Raw genomic sequence first — 22,594 nt, forward strand, 5'->3', positions numbered from 1 at the left:
TTCAGGCTTTTGGACTCAGACTAGAACTTACACCATGGGCCCTTCTGGGACTTCAGCCTGCCAACTGCACAGATCTTTGGACTTGTCTGCCTCCATAGTTGTACGAACCAATTCCTTACAATAAAATCTGTGTGTGTATATATATGTGTGTGTGTGTGTGTGTGTGTATTTGTATGTGTGTATATGTGTGTGTGTATGGATACAAATATAGATATAGATACATATCCTATCGGTTTTGTTTCTCTGGTGAACCCTAATACACCAGCTACAGAGGAAATAATATTGTCTAGGGAGAAGGTAAAGTTAAAAAAAAGACTCATATAAGCTATAGGATATCCCCACATTGTAAATAAACCATAGTGCAACCCAAGAAATAGAAATGAAAGCGGAAGTTGACCACAAATCAAGTAGGCTGGAACTGTGGCAGAATGTCCCCTGGGCATGCAGCCACCTGGCTGGAGATGGAGACTACATTTCCCAGCTCCATTCTGTCAAGTGTAGCCATGGGGCTAGGTTCAGATCAATGGTATATGAGGGAATCGATGAACTCCCAAGGAATCTCCATAAAGATGAAGCCACTGTCGTAGACTTCTTCCTTTTCTGTTTTCTGAAGGCTGAATATCCAATTTGAAACTGACCCAGTTTAAACTCTGCAAACAAGAACCACACCCTAAAAGATGGTAGAGCGAGAAGATGGAGGGAACCTTGGTTGCTGGATGACCTGGTGGAGCAGAGCTTCCACACCAGCCTGGACTGTTCAGCTGTGGGCCGGATCCCAGAAGGGAGGCTAATATCTCTCCTATTTAAGTCCCAACATTCTGAAATCTCTTTGCTACAGGGTTTGTTTGGCTTGTACTGAACTGAAACAGACATGGAAACACACACACCCGACTAAGCAACATGGATGGATGGCCGTTCCCTCGACTGGAACAGAAGGCATGTCTGCCTGCTCTGCTCACTTCTGTAGCCCCAGAAAATGAGGCAGGATCTGGCACGGGGAGGACTCGGCGGCTGTATGTGGAATGAATGGATATTGGAAGAAATACAGACTGGCAGTAGAAGGATGGTGAAGAAGTGGGGAAAGAGTCGATAGTTAAATCTCTTTACAAGGATTTGCTGTGCAGAGAAGAGAGTGACTGTAAGGACTGGGGTCCGGCTGGGATTCCTGTCTGTGCCGTGCAATGGGCATGTGTGTACATGGGTGACATAGGAAATGCTGGGGCATATTTCCACAAAAATATAAAAAATCCGACAAGAGAAAGGACTGCGACACAAAATAGAGTGTCATAAATTTCCTGGTATGTGTAGCAGGTGAAGTACTTTCTTCATATCACCAGAAGGGAAGAAGAGGATGGGTCGGTATACAGCAAAATCTGTTGGGTCACAGGCAGGAATTTTAGGATGTATCTGAGTGATGACTCTTAAAAAACTTCTGTCTGGTGGGAAGCAAGGTCAACCTCTGGAGAGAATGCTGGCCAGTGGAAGTCAGGCTGAGGTCAATGGAGAAGGTTGAAAACAGTCATTGTGGAGTGAGAGCAAAGTGAGTATAGGGCTATGGTCAGAATAAAGGGAAGTTCTCAAAGGCTGATGAGGTTGGGTACCATGCATTTTTATAGTAACCATCTGCCCAGTGTGTGTCTTTCCCAGCAACTGTCAGGTATTAGACAGACATGGAGAACAGGAAACACTCGACTTCTTCTGGGGCTGTGATTTTCCCCAATGATCAAAATTAAAAGGCTGAAGGGCAACTTCCGTTGAATATTGCAATAGAGTAGTTACTGCCTCTCTGTTGGAGAGGGAAGAAGCTGCTGGCAGGAAGGGCTGGTGGATGAGGTGGCGAACTCGTCAGCGGACGGGAGGTTCTGATAGGACAGGCATCTGCACTGTGGCTTTTTAACCAGCCTGGTTGGAGGACGGAAAATGGAGGCAAGAGAATGTGCTCAATGATTTTGTCAATTAGAAGTGATTAAGTTTCCAGGATGACAAAGTTTAGAATGACGGCTAATTTGGAGTAGAGATAAACATCACTGGAGATGAGGAGGCGAGGAACGAAGAGGTCAGGTGGTCAGATGTGTTTTTCAGGAGGATGTGGAAGATGCCGAGTAGATAGCAGGCATGGTAGTGATGAGGAAGACTGGCATGGATTCCAGCGACCCCTATGAGTGCACCGTAGTAACACAGGTGGAGTAGATGACAACTAAGAGGAGAGGAGAGGCGGCATCATCAGGTTGCATGAGATTTAAAGAAGCAAATGTTTGTCCAGCTAATAGAAAGGCTGTGGTCAGAAAACTACCTGAAGAGGAAGGATGACCTGGCACTCAGGTCTCAGGGGCAAAGAGAGAGCAAATTGCTTCCACTTGAGAGGATCACAAAGGAAGTGGGTTCTCAGGAGCCATCAGATCCTAGTTAAGGAAAGCAAGAAGAATCTTGAGAGAAGAGTCAAAGGTAAAAGGGCATTTTTTTGGATAAAACTACAAAAAAAACTTGCTTTCTGAGAACATTAAGGAAAACACTTTAAATCATTTTCAAAATGTCTAATTGATATGATCTTCAGAAAAACATTATCTAGTCTGTATAGAAATTCATCTTGAAATAAGAATGAGGCAGAGTGATCTTTTTAAAGGGTGATATATACAAGTCTTTAGATCAGTGTAACATGACTGTGATCATCTTACCAACAAAACTCAAAATCAATTCAGAGAGCAGCATGGCCTTGGAGACCACCCACACCCAACACAATTGTACATACTGGGCTTTGCTGTCAAGTTAAGGAGTGAGCAAATGAGTTCGGTATCAAAGGTCATATGTTTTCACAGTCATTCGAATTATATCCCAAAAACTTGTCTTGTATTCTCTATCTTTTGACTTTTTTTTCCAAAGAACTGATTGCACAGTATACAGAAATCCTGCTATATTTTACTACTTTAGGTGGAGTCTAATTTTTTGTTTTTAATTTATCAGTGCTTAAAAATCTTCAAAATAGCTTAGTGAGGCTCATGACAGTGCTGGCCACATGGAAATGTAGCCTTTTGTTGCCTTTAAACACTGTCACACCATCTATGACTGTCCCATTGGTCTGAAGTGTACTGGCAAACTAAGCATCCTGTAAGACAAGCTAAAGCTTGCTTTTTGCCAATCAGTTGAAAGTCCTGCATCTCTTCATTGATGCACTTTCTTTAGGTATTGATAGTCAAAAGCACAAAGCATTTATTATGCATTCAATCATGTAGCTAAACAAAAAACTGCAGTCTCCTGAAGCCATTTAAACCAGCCGTTCCAAAATCTTCTGCCACCACTTTGTTAGTACCATCAGAAACTTTCTCAACTATAAATGAAAGAATAAATGGTAGTGCTGCTCTCCAGATATAAGGCACTGCTCTGTATCTTTGAACATTTGATTTTTTTAACTCATAACTGTGTCAAAAGCCTCAAAAAACCCTGAAATTAATTTTCCAGCTTTACTGTCACCAGCCAGAAGTAAAATTCTTAATTTGCCTATTAGCTGTTGCTGTTAAATTTTAAATTTATTTTTTAAAAAACGGTTGGACTTCTATCATTATAAAGTATATAAAATTTTCAAAAAAAAAAGAACAATTTTGCTTTTCATTGTATTACTGAATACCCGAGGTAGTTGAGTAAAAATGCACGTTTTATACCCCTGTCAACACCGTTCAGCACTTCCCTTAGGTTACTCATGTTAGTGTTAAGTAAAAATAAAACTGAGAACAGTTTTTCCATGCTAATGGCTTAACATTTAAGTTCCTGTAATAATTATTCTGCTCCAATTTTAACAATTGGATTTAGGAACAATCTATTTGATGAATTTAGTGAAAGCATCATTAAGCCAATTTCTGGCATTATGGGGGAATATTAAGAATAATTAGAATATCTGTTATACTGTGAGACTACAACAAAGGGAAGTGCAGAGCTCTTCTCTTTCCCCCCTCTGCCACCCTTTTTTTGTGTGTTTGTTTTAAAGCTGGGTGTCATACATTTCAGAGAGCATAAAGTACACATTCTCACAGAGACAGGAGTTCAAAAGTTGCCTGGTCCTCAGAAACAAGTGGCTAGGTAAAAACTTGTGCATGTGATTCTGGATAGGGGGTCAGCGCCTGTCTGTTTGTTAAGCAATCTGTCTTTGGTTTGGCATCTGCCTCCGTGGTGGGCTGTTTCCTGAGCCTTACTTCCGTCTTGACTGAGGTGGTCCACTTTGCAGAGCCTTCTGTTGTTGCTGCTGCTTTACCTGAGTCAGAATTTCCTGAATTTTTCTCTGGGCAACCTGGCAAGCATAGAAGTGACCAGTTATTTTGACAACCACTTGGTCATTCTCATCAGGTGTCTGGTCACAAGGGACAACAACTTCTGCACTTGACAAATTCTGAAGTTCATTCACCGTTTTGCCTCCTTTTCCAGTAACTGCCAGCAGCAAAGGATGGCACTCTGATATGAGCTTCAAGTTTCACCTCTTCTTTAGGACTAACGAAGTTTTCTTCTTTCATTTTTCCATAATTCTTCCCTGAGCCTTGAACCGAGCCTCTGGTGATCCAGCGATCATCACCATCCTCACCTTAGCATCTGGTGCTTCCACTGGAGCAATCTTACTTGAAGCTCCAGCAAAGCGAGAAAGCTGCTTGATGTGCTGGCCCTGCTTGCTGATGAGGGCTCTGACTGATAGAGCCGGGATAAACAGATGAACAGTCTCGGATTCTGATTGCTCAGACTGCGGGGAGGGAGGAGTCATGGCTGAAGGGGGCCCTGAGGTGGGAGGTGGCATCCCTGAAGTGGGTGGGAACAGACCCAAGGCGTTCAGATTTAATCCAGGAATTAAATGTGCTTGAAATCATAGAAGTGATATCATTTTCCTAACGCTCCCTGATTTTCTTCATGATCTCTTCCTCAGCTTTGGCACATGTCTCAACATTGCCTTTAGCTGTAATGGTGTGTTCTGGATTATACTGCATCAGTTCCTGCAATGGAGATATCGTGATTTTAGTGTCTGTGTCTTGCTCAATTTTTTTAAGATTTCTTCCTTCTTTACCAATAAGACGGCCAACAAAGTTATTTTGAGCTAAAATCTTCAAGGGGATCTCTTCTGTGAATTTTACATCTTGAGTTTCCTTACGCATAATCTCCAGAATAGACTTACAAGCCGCAGAGGTGCCTTCAGGAGTAGAGAGGATAGTAATCGACTTCTCAGCAGCCCCTGCATTTTCTTTACGGTGGACATCGATTTTAGACTGGGTCTGTTTGGTGATGTTCCGAATGGTGGCACCTTCTTTTCCTATAATGGCTCCAACAAATTGGGTGGGAACCAGCAGGCACAGAGGCAAATCACATGGTTTCTGCTTGGACACGGATCCTGGAGACCCCTGCCTTGAGGAGCCCCTCTGCCCAAGCCCCCGGCGACCTCGGGGCTGCAGAAAGGGGTTTTGCTGGGTGGCCATTTCATCAGGGATATAGGCTACTTTCAAGGTGAAATTCTCTAACTGAAATCCATTCAGTTTGTCTAGTGCTTGTCTAGCGCTTGTCTAGCTTGGTCCTTACTGGAATAGGTTACATTTACAACTGCAGTTTCCGAGTCAGTGTTCACTTGCTGACAGCTCTCCACCACTCCATACTGGACTAGTCAACTATCCAGCACCTCCCACTGTAAGTGAGGAGGGATATTTCGTATCTGAAGTTTCCGAATCCTTTGCCTTTTTGGGACCGAGTGCTCAACTTCTATGGGTTTCCCGTGCAGTTCTATTTTACCTGAAAGCGCCTCAATGGCCTTGAGGGCCCAGATCTCGTCTGGGCAGTCCACGAACGCGTAGCCAATCTTCACCAGGAAGGGTCCCGACACGGGGATCTTGGCGTCCTTCAAGATACCTTCTAGGTCCAAGGGGGCGGCGTTCTCGCTGAGGTTTCTGATATACGGTTTGTTCATTGTGAAGAATGGTTGTTTAAAAAAAATTAATGAGAAAAACGAAAATTAAAACCACCCACGGTGATGGATGGATCCAGCTGGTTTTGTTCCCCTCGTCTTCTCGCCTTTAAAATACACAAACACAGTAAGAACCAAGCACAAGAACGAGGAGCAAAAAATCAGATCCGAGGCTTGTTTTTCCTTGTCTAGATATGTTTTAAAAGAGAAAGAAAAGAAAAAGCCTAGCTACAACCGAAACGCATCCACCAGGCTTGAATTGAGCTAACTTTTCACAGTCATTTTTTAACCATAATGCTCATCTACCAAGCAATACAGGGGCAGTCGTGTTTATCACCTATGTTATAATTTTATTAGCTGCGGAATGCTTATTCGTATATGGATGTCAATGGCTACATGTATTGATTAAAACTCCCTTCCCAATTATGTTACTATGGGAACAGCTAGAAACATTTCAAATGTTAATTACCTTTTGTTACACCTGGGTCACATTAGCAGTCACTGCATGGGAGGGGTGCTCGCTTTGTTTGGATTGGCATTCTGCCTCCTACACGGGGTTCAATTAACATTAGCTGAGACTATTTTTTAATTCAAAGAATATGCATATTGTCTTCATTATGAAGCCTAGAACATGATTTTCTCAGGTTGCCACATCAGTCAGATAGAGATACCGTGTAGTTTATAATCACAGCTAAGGCAGCTCAGCAGCGTGTTACATCCAAGAGGCTGACATACAGGAGAGATGTCATTTCCTTCTTAGTCTGCATCATTAAAAAGATCTTTTTTTCTTCTGAAGTCTTTCTCTTGGTTGCTCAACATTTCTTCACAGAAGGAATATGAAGGAAATAAAGTGATACATAGCAGGCGAAATCACGGAAGCAGGATTTTGTTTAGAAGAATGCAAGGCTGCACTGACTGACTACAATTCAGAAGAGCTGCAGCTGCCAATGTCCTTTCTGCAATTCATTAACCTTATATGTACCTTTCCACTTTAAGGGATTTTTTCCACTCAAGAAAAAAACAAAAGGAGAATGGAAAAAATTATAGAAATATGAAATGGGACTTACAATGAAATAGAATAATTTGCATATTTTTCTCAGGTAACATATTTTATAAGACAATTTCAATTCTTCCAGCTGCTGTCTTCAGAAGAGCTTAAATATAATTCTGGATATTATTTTCATTTAAAAGAAGATATTGGCTCACACTTCTTGCAGAAAGCTGAGGAGCCAGAACTTGACTTCGTATAACAGAGGTGAGAGTTATATCCGGAAAAGAACAATTCTCCCCTCCAAATTAGGACAAGTTCAACAATATCCTAAATCACAGTGATTTTAAATACTTTTCATGCTTATAAGAGATTTTAAAATGAAACAGCAATCTGTGAGGTGTTGATAGCATGCAGTATGTAGCCAAGGTGACCCAAGGTCAGTGTCTCCTTCTAGATGCATCTGCAGGTAGTTAGCATTCGCCACCCACACACCTGGCCCAACAGGAACACTGACGAGGCATGCGCATACTGCTGATGAAATGCAGCCTGGTTTGCTCCAGAGCACATGTTTTCTAAAACACACGTGTAACTGATAGACTTAGCGACTGACTAGGTGTGAAGATAATATAAAAGTTGCATTAGTCATGAGCCAATTTCTCTGATGCACTCACGTTTTAAGTCACCGTGTAACAGCAGGTCTGTGCTATAACACAAAGGACTGTGACACAGGTGAACACAGCAAGACACCAGGAACACACTTGGATGCCCATCGGCCCCAGGTTTCTTCTGCTGGTCCTGTCTGGCCATGTGTTTGGGTTTGAAAGTGTCCAGATTGCCTGGTTCTCCTGGATCTTCACGCAAAAGAAACGAGCACATGATGGTGACCTGGAACTCTCCTCGCTGGCGTCACTGCATTTTTGCAAAGCCTGTAACTGTCCTGTCTGCATTCTGGGCTCCAAGGCTCAGTCCTCTGATCTTTCCTGACCTGTCCTTCCCCTAGGCTGCCTTCCTCTTTTTCCTTATTACAGTAAAGTTCTGTATGTACTGCAGCATATTCCATTTATTGGGAATTGAATATATTTCTTCTATGCCAGGATTTAAAATTAGGATTGTTAATATTGTGGTTTGTGCTCTGGTTACAGAATTTCTAAGGTTTGGGTGTTCTATCCCAGCACCATATTTTCTCAAAGCCTTGCTCTCTGCAGTGGGTGATTTTGCACAATGCAAACTTCTCAGGTACTTTCTTCTGAGCTCCAGGTCCCCATATCCAACATCTACTCAACATCTTATTCTGAGATGTTCACCTCAAACATGTGAGAATCAACATGTCAACATGTCAATACCTCTTGCAGGATTTCCTAACTCCACAGATGGTATCCGTCCAATTGTGCAAGCCAAGAGCAAGGCGCCAGCTGGGACGTTTCCCATACCCAATCTATCATCATGTCCCATTAAATTTTACCAGTAGTGTTTCTCGAATGTGTCCGTTTCTCTTTGTCTCTGCTGCCACCTTCATCTTACACCTGAATCACTGCAGCAGCCTCCTCCCTGGCCACAGCAGTCTATGAAACACTAATCTGAGCAGATCACCACCCTCCGCACAAACCCTTAGGGAACTAGAAGAAAAGTCGCTCAACTTGGTAAAGGCTACATTACAAAAACAACCAGTAAACATCACACTCAGTGGAGAAACTTTAAAATCAGAAGCAAAGATGCCCATTAACATCACAACTGCTTAGCATGGTACTAAAGGTCCTTACAGACAAAAAAGAAGAAAGAAGCAAGAAGGAGAGAGTCAGAAAACAAAATAAATTAGTGGTATAAGATTTGGAAGGAAGATAAAAAACATCCTTATTGGCAGATGACACAATCCTAGACATAGACACTCCAACAGAATAGAGACTATTAAAACTAACGAGAGTTCAGTGATGTTGATGGATTTACAGTGGGCTTAAAAATTACTAGCAATTATCCTCACCTATTGATACAGACTGAATGTTTGTGTCTCCCCTAACTCTTATGTTGAAATCTAATCCCAAGTGTGATGGTATTTGGAGGGGGGTCTGGGAGGTGATTAGGTCATGAGAGCAAAGCCCTCATGAATGGGATTATAAAAGAGACCTTATGAAAGAGACTCTAGAGAGGGCCCTCACACCTTCCACCACGTGAGGACTTGGCAAGAAGGCACTGTCTGTGAACCAGGGAGCAAGTGTCCACCAGACACTGGATCTGTGGGTTCCTCGATCTTGGACTTCCAGCCTCCAGAACTGTGAGAAACGAATTTCTGTTGTTTATAAGCCACTCCGTTTATCGTTTTTCATTACAGCATCCCAAATGGACTAACACACCTGCAATAACCAATTACAGTTTTTATTAAACTTAAGTGGTGAAATTTTATCAAATACCTCTCTGTACCAATTGAGAGGACCACATGGCTCATGTTGCTATCAACAAGAAAAGATAGGCAACCCAACCCAAAAAACAGGCCAGGAATGAAAACAGTTCACAGCAAGAGAAATGTAAATGACTGGCAAGTATGTGAAGAGTTCCTCAACTCAGTCAATGTAACCAGAAGAAATAAAATGAGGAGAAGACAATTCAAGCCATCATATTTATAAAATGTAAAGGCGTCATACAACCAAGAGTTGGTGAGCGTGGGAAGGAAGATCTGGGGCCTCCTGCAATTCTTCTGGAAGCGTCCCCTGCCGTGACTGCATGGAGAACACTTGAGCAGTCATGAAGATGAAGAACGAGTATCATCTGTGCTCTTTCCATCCCATGCTGCATAGCCTGGAGACCCCAGACCCCCAGCCCTCCACGACTGGATGGGTACCCAGGCAAGGGGACAGCTAGTTAGGCAGGCTTTACGCACAGTACCCAGGGGGAAGTAAAGCCCCGTGCCAACTGTCTGTGCAAAATGAAATATCACACGCACAGCCTGTTACTGTGTATCTTAAAGGATACATTCATATCTAAGAATATAGAGAGGGTGGGATCGGGAGGAAAAGTAAAATAGTATTAAACAAGAAGAGTCTTATTTTGACAGTTGTGCTAGAGTTCCTTGAATAGTAGTAACAAAACTCTGCATAGGAAGTTTTTGAAAAACATTAAGAGTAAATGGTCTTCAGATTTATTGGTGGAAGGGTGACAGCCATTCAAATGGATAAGTTCAATTTAGGAGTGAATATTACTCAAAATAGAACAAAGTCCAACATACCTATAATTAGTGTGCAGGAAGAAGAAAAGTACCCAGCAAACTTGAGAGTAAAGGCTGATCAGAGAAGAGAGTTAGCAGGCAAAGGAAGAGAAAACCAGCATCTGCTAGATGCCTTCCTTGTGGCAGCACTGGACAGATAACCCTTTGTGCAATGCCGGGGTTGCCGGGAAGGGGGCAGCTCTGCTCTCTGTGCAGATGGACGGCAGCCCGGCAGCCACGCAGCCCGCAGAGCAGAGCCGGGTTAGAGCACAGTTCCGTCTCACCCACACGGTTAGGGAGCTCCAACCATGTGGCAGGGAGACTTTCAGGAATAAGTGAAGGTCGGTTTCCAAAGTGCAGCATGATTCTTAGTAAGCAAATATTGTTGATTCATTACAAAGGTAAATAGAAACAGTTTCAATGGAGCAGTGAGGAACAAAACCAGGTGACTGGGTGGTGGGGAAGTGGCAGAGGAATGAAAATGACTTATAAATTAAGGATAGTGAATATCTGGGCACGTTTAAAGTTATGGATGACAGTAATGGAAGGAGTGCAGAATCAAGGCCCAGGGTCATTATAAAGGAGGAGGTCCAGACAGGTGCACCTGGATCAGATTGGGAGGTGACTAAACAAGTGACCTAAAATGTATAAATATAGTACCTTAATTATGGTGATCATTATTACTTATCTTCAGAGAGTAATCTTTCTTTCTTTCTCTCTCTCTCTCTCTTTTTTTTCAGGGTCTTACTTTGTTGCCCAGGCTGAAGTACAGTGGTGCGATCTTGGCTCCTAGGCTGGTGGCCTTGACCTCCCAGGCTCAAGCAATCCTCCCGCCTCAGCCTCCAGAGTAGCTGGAACTACAGGTGTGCACCACCGTGCCCAGATAATTTTTGAATATTTTACAGAGACAGGGTCTCACTATGTTGCCTAGGCCGGTCTTGAACTGCTGGCCTTAAGTATTCCACCTGCCTCAGCCTCCCAAAGTGCTGAGATTACAGGCATGAGCCACCACAACTGGCCTGAGAATAATTTCTTTTGCTAATATTGTACAACCACAGAAAAAAGGAAAATATTCTCCGGTAGAATTAAATCTATATACTTACACTTATTTATTAAAAATATTTGTGTTTTTTATTGGATCTAGAAAAAAACCTGATTTAATTCAATATATTTTTGTCACTATGTATTAATTCTGTTGGAAACATAATAGGATTGAGCTTGATGTCAAATAACAGGATGAAATCTTTTTTTTGCATAAAGGAACATAAAACTATTTATTGACCACTCTTCACAAGTATTTACAATAAAGTAAACATTATACAGTTGGATAACATTCTGATTACTGCAAAGTGGTTTTTCCTGGCTTTTGAAATCACTTTTAAGAATAGTTAACCTGGACTTGACACAGAAAAATCTCAACTCTCAAAAAGCTAAGCCACACCAAAGAAACTGCTTTATCAGGTTGTTGAAAACATTTAGGATGTTAAAAATAATTTCAGTATAAACAAAAATGCTTTCTTCCTTGCAACTTCCATTCCTCCTGCCTTGGAACCCTGGCAAAAGCTAAGAAGTTAGAAGACATTCCAAGACGTTTCGCAGGTCCTGAGAAGGTACTTACACACCCGCTGAGAGTTCTCGTCACCAGGCAGTGCACACTGCTAAACAGGCTTTACCAGTAGGCCTTTACTAGTACTATTTACAGTTACAATAAATAACTTTCTCTAAAGTTTTACCACAGTGACTTCCTTCTCATACAATTGAACTTGCTCACTTTCAAGTGTAATTATATTTTTGAAATACATACTTCTGAACTGAAGTCTCCACCATTAATTTTCATGGGCAATACATGATAAAATAAATGCATTGTACCACAAATTGCAATGTATTAAGTTCTGTGGAGTAAGTGAAGCCAGTCATGTAGACAACTGGGAGAGATATGAAATAGAAGTGACACACCGCTCCGTGTTGATATTCAAAGTAGAGAAACAAGGAAGAGGTGTGAGCCACAAGCTGTGAGCCTGCAGTGGGGTTCCATACACATTCCCCCAGCCGGGTACTATCGGCTTGTTTTAGCACGCCTCTTATCCGGGTTGTGCCTCAGTTTCCTCCTCCTTAAAGCAGCACTGAAGTTCATCTCACCTCTGCTTCCCTCACCGGTTGTCATAAAGATGTAACAAGATAACGGATGTGGGGTGCTTGTCAAGCTGGGCACGCATGTAGAAAATCATTACTTTTATTAATGGAGGAATAAGAACAATAGTCCCAGAAGTCAGAAATAAAGACACAACATATCCTCAAAATATCCTTAAAAATAAACACATGGGCTGAGTAAGTTGGCTCACGCCTGTCATCCCGGCACTTTGGGTGGCCGAGGCAGGAGGATTGCTGGAACCCAGGTGCTGGAGGCTAGCCTGTGCAACATAGTGACACTCCATCTGTACCAAAATAAATAAATAAATAAACACATGACCAAAAAGAAAAAACTATTTGATGGCTTCGCTTTATCCTAATCTCAAATCACATTGTTATTCTTTACATCATCTTTCTTTCTTCATAAAAGTCAGAATCTCAAAGGAAGTTGGTCAAGATCCTGATGTGCAGATGGGTTAAGAGGATTAGTAAATGTCAAATAACAAAATAAAAAGAAGAAAGGGATGAAATTAAGTCCTGGCACATTCCTCAGTTAGTTGTATTTCCTCTTTCTGGCCCAGACATCCCCTGGATTTATAGGTGCGTAAGTGTCCCTTCTCGTCACCAGGACAGCTTTAACTACCATCAAGAAGTATTTTTCAAATAAACACTTCAGTCTCTGTGTCTGAAGTGTTTATTTGACTGATCACAGCTGAGAACAAGTTAGGGGTTGACAAGGTCCTATTGTGGGCAGAACAACTGTGATTTTCTAAATGGAAGCACATCTTTAAAACTGTAAGAGGGTTTCAGTTTTCATGTACGCCATATTCTATTATCGAACCAGAATCTTCACTCTGAAGTACTATTCAAAATCCTGATGGAATAATAATCAAATTGATGCAACTTAGGTTTAATCCTGTTCACTTCTTAAATTATCACACAATGTCTTTTTTCCCTATCCTTACAAATCTCATAGTTTACCTTTGTAAGTATATGTGTATGTCAATTTAAAAAAATACAATGAAATCCCTGAACATCTGAAAGATTCCATTCAATTTTGCTGTTCTTATTAAAACTTATTTCAAATCTGGAGTATTCAAAGTAACACTTGAGTCATAATCTCTACAGCATGCTTTAGCCTTTAATCAGTTATATTGGACAGATCATCCTCAAACACTGCTCTCAGCACCCTGATGTCCTCCCACCATAATGTACTTTGTTCTGTACTCTTTGATATATTTTTTTGTAAAATATGTATATATGCATGCACGAGTGTGTGTGTGTATGTGTACGGTGTTTGTGGGGTATATGTGTATGGTATGTGTTGTGTGAGTGTGTGTGTGTGTGTGTGTGTGTGGTGTGTGTGTGTTATGTGTGGTGTGTATGTGTGTTTGCATTGTGTGTCTGTGTGTGTGTCTATGCCATCAAATACTATCTCTTTTGATTACATCCTGGAGGTGCATGTGTTATGCATCCTTCTTCTCTTCCAGGAAGATGGACTAGGCATGTATTTCCCTATTCTTCCCACTAAGTACAGTTGGAAACCCTGGACACTTCCTGGAAGATGACTCTGACAGGAGGAGAGAAGAAGTCAGGATAGCTAAGGGCCTCAGGACTTGAGGAGCAAGCTGGTGGAGAATTCCCTGGGTTTTCCTTTGCCTCATGTGTACTAGACCTGAAGCCAAATAAATCAGCAACCCAGGAATTCCAGCAGGCACAGACAAAATAAAATCCCAACAAAAGCCTCTAGCCACAGGACCAGGGAAGGGGGCAGAAAACTCTTAGATGATAACTGCTCTACTTTAGCCAAACAACACAGAAAAACCTTGGCCCCACCTTCACCCATGCCAGTAAAGGCTGTGTGGGTGGCCTAGAATTCCACCCTCATTAGTCTGTAAGGAGGTGCCCCAACATCCCCCCAGGGGTGGTGTCCACTGGTGGTGGTGGAGGACACTGAGGACTCTGACCACTGCCCAGGGGTAACAAGGCCATAAGTCTTCTTGGGATTAGTGGAGGCCACAGAGGGAGCTGGAGCCTCCACCCCCACAAAGCAGGAATAGCCCCACAACTTCCTTCATTGCAGTAATGAGGTGGTGCCCCCACTTCCTAGGTTGGAGTCACGTGAGACCCAGTCTGTTAAAACAGAAAGCTTATATAAGATCCAGAGTCTCATAACATAGTGCCCCAAAAGTCTAGGTTCCAATTTAAAAAAAAATCACTAATTACACAAAGAACCAGGAAGATCTCAAACAGAAAAAAAAAAGATGCCAAACCAAGATGACAGAATGTTAGATATATCTGACAAAGATTTCAAAGCAGCCATGATAAAAATGCTTCAACAAGCAATCACAAACCAGCCTAAAACCAATGGAGAAACAGAGCCTCAGCTAAGGAATGGGAGATATAAAGAAGAACCAAATGGAAGTTTTAGACATGAAAAATACAAAACCAAAATGAAAAGTGCACAGACTGGGCTTAATAGCTGAGTCGAGGGAACAAAGGAAAGAAACAGTGAAATGAAGGATGAAGCAACAGATGTTCTCACCTCAAAACCCAGAGAAATAAGAGCAGCATAAACCCAAAGCAAGCATAAGAAAGAACATAAATAAATAAAAGGAAGTGAAGAAAGAAAGAGAGAGAGAGAGAGAGACAGAGGAGAAATCCATGAAACTGCAAACAAAAACAACAGAAAAAACCCATGAAACAATGAGCTGATTAAAAAAAAACAAGACCAATAAAATTGACAAATCTCTTGCAAGACTGATTGACAGAGAGAGAGAGAGGAGATACAAGTTCATATATTACCAGTATCAGGAATGAAACAGAGAATCATTACAGATCCTGCAGACTTGGCAAGGATAATAAGGGCACACTGTGAACACCTCTATACACATGGATTTGATAAATCAGACAGAATGTACGTAGGGATGCCCACCCTGCTGGTGCAGCCTGCTCAGGAGTGGCTGGACCTAGGTAAGAGGTCCACATGGGTTTCAAAAAGAGGCTCAGGGTCACTGGGGGAGGAAATTCTGGCAGCCCAGGTACCTGGAGAATGTTTTTGGAGGGAAGGGTGCAAACTGTGGATAGGCACATCACCTGACCTTCAAAGACTCTCATCTGGTGGTGAGGGCAAGGCCAGCAGCAGGCAGAAGGAGCTCTCAAATGCTCAGCGTCAGGGCAGGGGCCCCTCTGGTCCAGCTCTAAACACTGTGCTGAGTACAGATGGTTTTTTTCTTGACATTGCCAATGAGATAACACTCGTCAAAACAGAGGACGACTAAGGATCTGGAGTCAAGAGTTAACAGCCTTCAGGAAGGCTTAGCAGGCTTTGCAGCTATTCCTTTCATTATCTAACAAGTATCTGTGAGGGTTCTTGCTATAACTCAGTATCTGGGCCAAGCATGCAGTGTGGGGTTAGAAAGAGACGCACGGACGGGCTGTGGCAGCCTGGGGAGAGTGCCATGCACCTGCAGAAGTAGTGTGAGCCTCTCACGCCATGATGAGGTCACAGTTCCCCTGCACTATCTCTTGATGTGTGATGTCCCACCGAGGCCCACAGGTGGGCTGTGTCCCTCGATGTCTGGAACATACATTGAGGTCACAGGGTTCTGCCTTCCCGGCGCCCCCTTCTAGATGTTGCCACGTGGTCAATGGATAAGCAGACAGCACCCGAGGAGCTGCTGAAACACAGCGTCTATCCCGAGCTTTCTCTTCCTTAGTGCTACTTGCTCAACACTGCCTGTGCCTCATGTCTCGCTCTCTCTCCCCTGGGTGGGAGCACAGGGAGACCACTCTGTGAAGCTCTGGGTTCCCGACAGCCTCATTAGAAATGAAGCCAAAAAGCACAGGCACAGATCAGGAGAACAGGGTTGTGACCCCTGGAAATGACACGTCTGTCCCTGGAGGTGGCGTCCTTCCCCATGCTTCTTCCCAAGGTCAGTTTCTGATGAGCTTCCATGACCTCCTCTGCCAGGCCACCTGTGCCTTCCCACTGCAGAGCTCTTCCCCATCCCCCGGAACACAACTCACTTTCTCTCTTTTCAGGGCGGAGGAAACCCAGCTCCAGGGTGACCCACAGCCACTTGGATCTCCGGGTATCAGAAGACTGGCGCCAGGCCCATAGCCGGGTTTTCACACCGGAGGAGGTGGGAGGGGTTTTCATTTTGTTTTGTTTTGTTTTGTTTTAATAAAGTCATGCTTGATTAAATAAAATGAGAGAAAAGTAAATTTAAGGAATTGTGAGGGAGAAGAAAGAGCAGATTGTTGTGAACAGTTGGTGGGATATCTATGCAGATAGACAGTGCACAAAAATTATAGGACACAGCTACTGATTTTTTCTCTGTTCTCCTTTTAAAGGACCAGTGCGTAGATATCTGGGTCACAGCCCTGGGGAGAAATACAAAAACATTCACGCATGATATGGAGAGAAAATAAAGAATAGAAATATCCATGACTGGCTGAAAACACATGAAGAACAAACACAGATGCACGATTTATGTGTTCTGGAAGCAAAACCATTCCTGCCTAATGCAGCCATTTATTCAGCTTTATTATTCTAGCAAGTAAAAAACACAAAACTGCGCTTTGTGAAATATCCGGAGGGAAGCAGAGGAGGAAAGTGCTGCCTGTGATGTCCTGGGGTCAGCACTGGCCACGTTATCTGCAGAGACGACTGGGGTCATGGTGTGAAGTTCCGTCGTGGAGGAAGCTGACAGGCTTGTTAGTGCGCCCCTCATAGTCAGCGGTCACCACACCCTGTCACCCACGTTAACCTATCGCTGCTGCCATCACCCAGTTCCAAGTCCCAGTGCTTCATACCTCAGCTTCCACAATGGCCTCCCTGATCCCGCCTTTCCCTATGGGTTTATGCCAACAGCCCAGTTGGGTTAGGCTTCCCCACACCCTGTTCCAACCATGTCCATCTCCTGGCCAGCCATCAGTGATGAATTATTCCTTCCTGTGACTTCGAGCCTAATCCCAGCCCACAGGGTATCAGGCAGGGTTACCCCCAGCACGCTGTGGGGATGGGAAGAGGTGCAGGCCAGTGTTCTTTCTGTGCTACTGGTTTGAAACACAGAACACATTCTCACACAGAGACAACAGCTTGAATTGTGCTTGGGTTCTCATGAGAAACACAGAAAAGGCATTTGACTCAGAGCTGAGCCCTGGTGCTCTTGTTTCGGGTCCTGGGAAGAGACAGCTGTGAGATGGAGGCAGTAGGAGGTGAAAGAAAATAGTTATTTACTGGTTCCTTATGGTTGAATTGTATACCCTCAAAAAGATGCGTTGATGTCCTAACCTCTGGAACTGTGAATGTGATGTGACCTCATCTGGAAATAGGGTATATGCCAATATTAGCAAATTAAGACAAGGTCACTGGGGTGAGCCCTAACTGTGCCTGACTGGTGTCCCTAAAGGAGGAGAGACAGAGACGCACAGAGGGAAGACAGCCACCTGGAGACAGAGGCAGAGGCGGGGCAATGCGTCCACAAGCCAAGGAGCACCCGAACCGCCTGAAGCACCAGAAGCAAAGAGAAGGGCCTGGAACAGGCTGTCCCTCCCCGCCTCAGCAGGAGCCCACTCTGCCACACCTCCAACTCGGACTTCCAGCCTCTGGATGGGAGAGAACAGAGTCCCTTGCTTGGCCACACAGTTTGTGGAACTTTGTTTACCACAGCCCCAGGACACCAATACCAGGTCCCAGGCAAATTTTTGTCAGAAATGCAAGTTGGCTTTGGCAGCCTGTGCTGGGCCCGTATTCTGGTCTGTTCTCTCTGCTGCAGGCCAGGCCTCAGGCTGTACTGGGCACCCTCCCTTCCCGTCCGGCCTGTGCTCCTTCTTCAGCTCACCCTGAGGAAACTCCCTCTCCAAACACCAACACATCCAAAGCAGGGGGCTGAGGAGCAAACCTCACCAAAGCCTTCTGCCTTGCAGACGTGAGAAAGGAAAGGCAGTGGAGGGTGGGCAGGTGGAGCACTGGGAGGCCCCAGAGACTGCAGAGCACCCCTCCAGGCAGCCCGAGGCGGGAAGCAAGCCCAGCACAGCCCCTCCTGGTGGCTTCCCTCCAACTTGGCTGGGTCAGTTAGTGACTCCGCTGCAGAAGGAGCTGCGTCTTCAAATGGGAGGCATGGACGGTAGCTGCCACCATAGAAGCCGGGCCTTCTCCCTGCATGGGGCACTTGAATTAGTCTGACCAGGCTTCCTGCCAGCTGCCTCTTAAAAAGGAGTAAACTTATCCAGGAGACAAAATTGTGGGGATAGCCAAAAAATGCTGGGTGAGAAGAGGAATGAGAGACAGCTTATCCTAGCAAATACTAAAATACGATATTAATAATAGCACAAAAAGGCAAATTAATGGAACAGAAAAATCCAACAACAGATGCAAGCACAGCCGTGCATCACTTAACAACGGGGATACGTTCTGAGAAAGGCGTCATTAGGTGATTTTGTTGTTGTGAGAACATGACAGAGTGCCCTGGCACACACCGAGGCTATCTGGTGTAGCCCATGGCTCCTAGGCCGGAGCCTGCACACACACGGCTGCGCTGAACACTGGAGGCAGCTGCAGCTTCCTGGTCGTGTATCCAAACATAGAAAAGCTGGGCCAGGCATGGTGGCTCACGCCTGTAATCCCAGCACTTTGGGAGGCCGAGGCAGGCGGATCATCTGAGGTCAGGAGTTCAAGACCAGCCCGGGCAACATGGTGAAACCCCGTCTCTACTAAAAATACAAAAATTAGCTGGGCATGGAGACGCATGCCTGTAATCCCAGCTACTTGGGAGGCTGAGGCAAAAGAATCGCTTGAGCCCTGGAGGTGGAGGTTGCAGTGAGCCGAGACTGCACCACTGCACTACAGCCTGGCTGACAGAGTGAGACTCCATCAAAAAAAAAAAAAAAAAAAAAAAAAAGAAGGAAAGAAAGAAAGAAAAGCTGTAAGTCCTCACTTCAAGTCATTGTAAGGTTTTGGAAACAGACTTGAAGCAAAATGACATATAACTAAACCAGTTTTATCACAGGTTAACTGATGTCAACAAGAGTTAAATTCCTGCAGCATATTTCAAGCCACAAAACCGTCACCAAGCCTCTAAATAAAGACCAAACCGCTTCTAATATTGAACATGGAAATAAATGTAAGCTATGCGGACATTTAAGAAAAACAGAAAAACAAATAGGACGATGATTTCCCACCGACTCCAGGCCAGGGTCTCGAGTTGCCGGAGCCTGTCCCGGCAGCTCAGCCTGTCCTGCGAGGCAGCCCCCATCCTGGCCAGGACATCATCCCAGCGGGCATCAATTCTTTTTCACATCATCACTGTATCGAAATGACATTGAATGAAACGACGTCATTTGAGGACCTGCTGCACAGGTAAAATACCGTATTATACTCTTATGGGACCACCTTCAGATGTGCGGTCTGCTGGCGACCAAAACGTCCCTCTGCACTGCACGGCTGCATATGTAAGAGGTTAAGACATCGTGATTTGTGAAGTCAGAATGGAAAAGGGGGGTTGTAATAACAAATTATTCATTTGGAAAAATAGTTAAATCCCTCATTATATACCTCACAACCTAAAATGTCAGAAAAGACAAAAGCAAACGTGAAAATTTAACACGGAAGTACCAGAATAAAGTAAGGGTGATCATTTATGCCATCTTTTGATGGATACAACTTTTCCAAGTGTAAAGCATGACTAAATTTAAAACTTTCGGATGTCAAAACACTGTAACCGAAATTTAAATAAACTGCAAAAAAAAGGTTTTGCGACATGCATGCAAAGCATCAGTGCTCCACGTACAGAACTCACACAAATGAGGAAGAGAACAAGGACCTTGCTCATGGCTGTGTAGGAGGATCCGGAGCCAGAAGGAGCAGGGAGTGAGGATGGAGAATGGGCTGCTGGGACACATGTGGGAGGGAGATCAGGACACAGGCTGCGAGTGGAGGCCACGCGCTCACCTCTGCAACAGAGGGAAGGAGGTGGAGTGTGTCTGTGGGCAACTAGCAGGTAAGGAAGAGGAGTCTGAGTTCGTCTGAGGCTCAGGTTTTGCAAGGGGGTGGAGGCATCGCCATTGCTGGGAACAAGGAGCAGAGCATTGCAAAGAGGTTACCAAAAACAGTGAACATCTGGGATCATTGCTGTGTATTCCCCGCAACAGAGAGCTGCAGAATGGCCCAGGTGCGCTGTAGGAGATGGAAGAGAACAGGAACCAAAGACCAGCCACAGCCTGGAGGAATGGTTGCCAAAGAGGCTGGCGCTGGGCACACACTGGCACCAGGAGTCTCTCCCAGCTCTGCTCTGCCACCCTGAGAATGGGAAGAAGGCCAGGGAATTTTGCAAGTGGGAGCCAGGTGAGGAGAGCTGGGGTTCCAAGGAAACTGGGATGTTAACAGGGAAGAGCTCAGCAGACCACTGGCAGTGACAGATCCCGCGGGTGAAGTTGGAGCAGCGTGGGGTTGGAAGGGAGTGGGGTGCACAGCACACGTTCCATCCAGGGCGAGTTTTAGATTCCAGTGGTAGTGCATATCTCTCTAAGATCCAGAGTGCACCAGAAACACAGGTCAGCATGCTGAAATGACCCAGAAATTTTACCAGGGGTGCCTCTCACAATTAACTGTACTTGAGGCAAGCCCATTTGTTATAGATTTTTCGCCGATGATTGTTTTATTATTTGTCATTTTTCTTTTTTCTTCTTTTCTTTCTTTTTTTTTTTTAGACGGAGTTTTTGCTCTTGTTGCCCAGGCTGGAGTGCAATGGCACGATCTCAGCTAACTGTAACCTCCACCTCCTGGTTCAGGCGATTCTCCTGCGTCAGCCTCCCACGTAGCTGGGATTACAGGTGCCCGCTACCACGCCCAGCTAATTTTTGTATTTTTAGTAGAGACAGGTTTTGCCATGTTGGCCAGGCTAGCCTCAAACTCCTGACCTCTGGTGATCCACCCACCTCGGCCTCCCAAAGTGCTGGGATTACAGGCGTGAACCACTGTGCCCGGCCCTATTTGTCATTTTTCTATGAAGGCAAAAGCAACTGTGCACATTTACCCTCACTTCCCCTTAAGTAGCTTTCTGAGCTCCAGGCACAAAGGGAACTAGGGAAGGTCTTATCTAGCACAGGGCACCATGCAGACTGGCAGATAGCAGTTATCAGAGGCTGGCATGGGGGGAGGTTAGTCCCCACAGTGCCGATGTAGGAAATAATGCTCAGCCTTATGTGAGGCTGTTTGAGTTTCCAAGGCACCCCTAAACTAATCCATCAGGAAGGCAGAAAAGGCTTTGGAGATCATTTTCCCCTTAAAAAGACTAAGCATTCCATGTTCGTTTGAAGAAAAGTAATAGTTGTAAGGCCATATCAAAATCTAAACCAATACATATTGACTTTTTTATCATACAATAAAATGCAACCGTATCTGAAAATACAAGACACGAGTATTTGTACACATTCTCTTTAAAGTGGTTAAAATAACTTGGCCCCCAAACATGAATTAATGAGGACATGCACCCGAGAAAGTAGCACATACTTCAATACAGACGTATCTGTAAATCTCACCCGCTGGTGTAAGATAGCTGCCCCGCACATGTGCACAGAGGTGACATAAACTTGGCAGGACTTTCAGATCGGTTATGTCTCAATAACTGACCTTAACTTAATGAAAAGTGAGATCCCAATATTTCTAAACACACCGAACAGCTCTTTTGCTTTTTCATGAACCTAGAGAGGGGTGGAACAGGCTAATTAGGTTAAAAGTCTAACCATTAGATTTTTTCTTATTTGTGTGTCTGTATACAGGCATATATGAGTAAGGATTAAAAACATTAACATTTAAAGGTTATTGACTTTGACAACAAGGCCAATATACTTGGCACCAGCCGGCAAACTTTTCTCTACATGTACAGGTAGCAAACATTTTTGGGGCCACACAACCTCTGTCACGCCTGCTCAACCCTGTCTTTACAGGGGAAACTGCCACAGACAACACGTAAATGAATGTGCATGGCTGCGTTCTTAGAATGCGTATTGGACATTGCTACCATTTAGTGAGCTCCTCTTATGTGCTTGGAATGCACTATTTATAAACTCTCAGGTTGGGAACATAATGTTAATTACATTATTCATCTTCCAAGCTCACTACAAAGAATAGGTTTCCACAAATGCTTATTTATGGACATTGAGATTTGAATTTCATACAATTTTTATGCATCATGAAATCTTCTTTTGACTTTTTTCCAACTGTTAAAATATGTAAAAATCATCCCTAGCTCACATAGCCAGAATGTATGCAAGGTTTGATATCAATGAGAGCTTTAAATGAATTTAAGCTTGTTTGGAAAGACAAGTAACCTGCAATCTCTCCTTC

At 44.0% G+C, this 22,594-nt stretch overlaps 1 protein-coding gene and 1 pseudogene across 6 annotated transcripts in view, besides 1 other annotated feature; both read right to left on the reverse strand.

Annotated features, from left to right (window-relative positions):
- RPS6KA2 (ribosomal protein S6 kinase A2) overlaps nt 1-22,594 on the reverse strand; it is a 453,410-nt gene that overhangs the window by 287,550 nt on the left and 143,266 nt on the right. The gene's annotated exons all lie outside the window — the stretch shown is intronic.
- On the reverse strand, nt 2,448-6,179 carry IGF2BP3P1 (IGF2BP3 pseudogene 1; annotated as a pseudogene).
- Nucleotides 21,628-21,922: a silencer, noted in NCBI's record as "tiled region #5298; HepG2 Repressive non-DNase unmatched - State 21:Repr". NCBI's record gives its function as "represses a minimal TATA promoter and a strong SV40 promoter by Sharpr-MPRA in HepG2 cells {active_cell/tissue: HepG2}" and the evidence as "EXISTENCE:reporter gene assay evidence [ECO:0000049][PMID:27701403]".

Source organism: Homo sapiens, chromosome 6 (assembly GCF_000001405.40).
Source record: "Homo sapiens chromosome 6, GRCh38.p14 Primary Assembly".
NCBI classification, from domain to species: domain Eukaryota; kingdom Metazoa; phylum Chordata; class Mammalia; order Primates; family Hominidae; genus Homo; species Homo sapiens.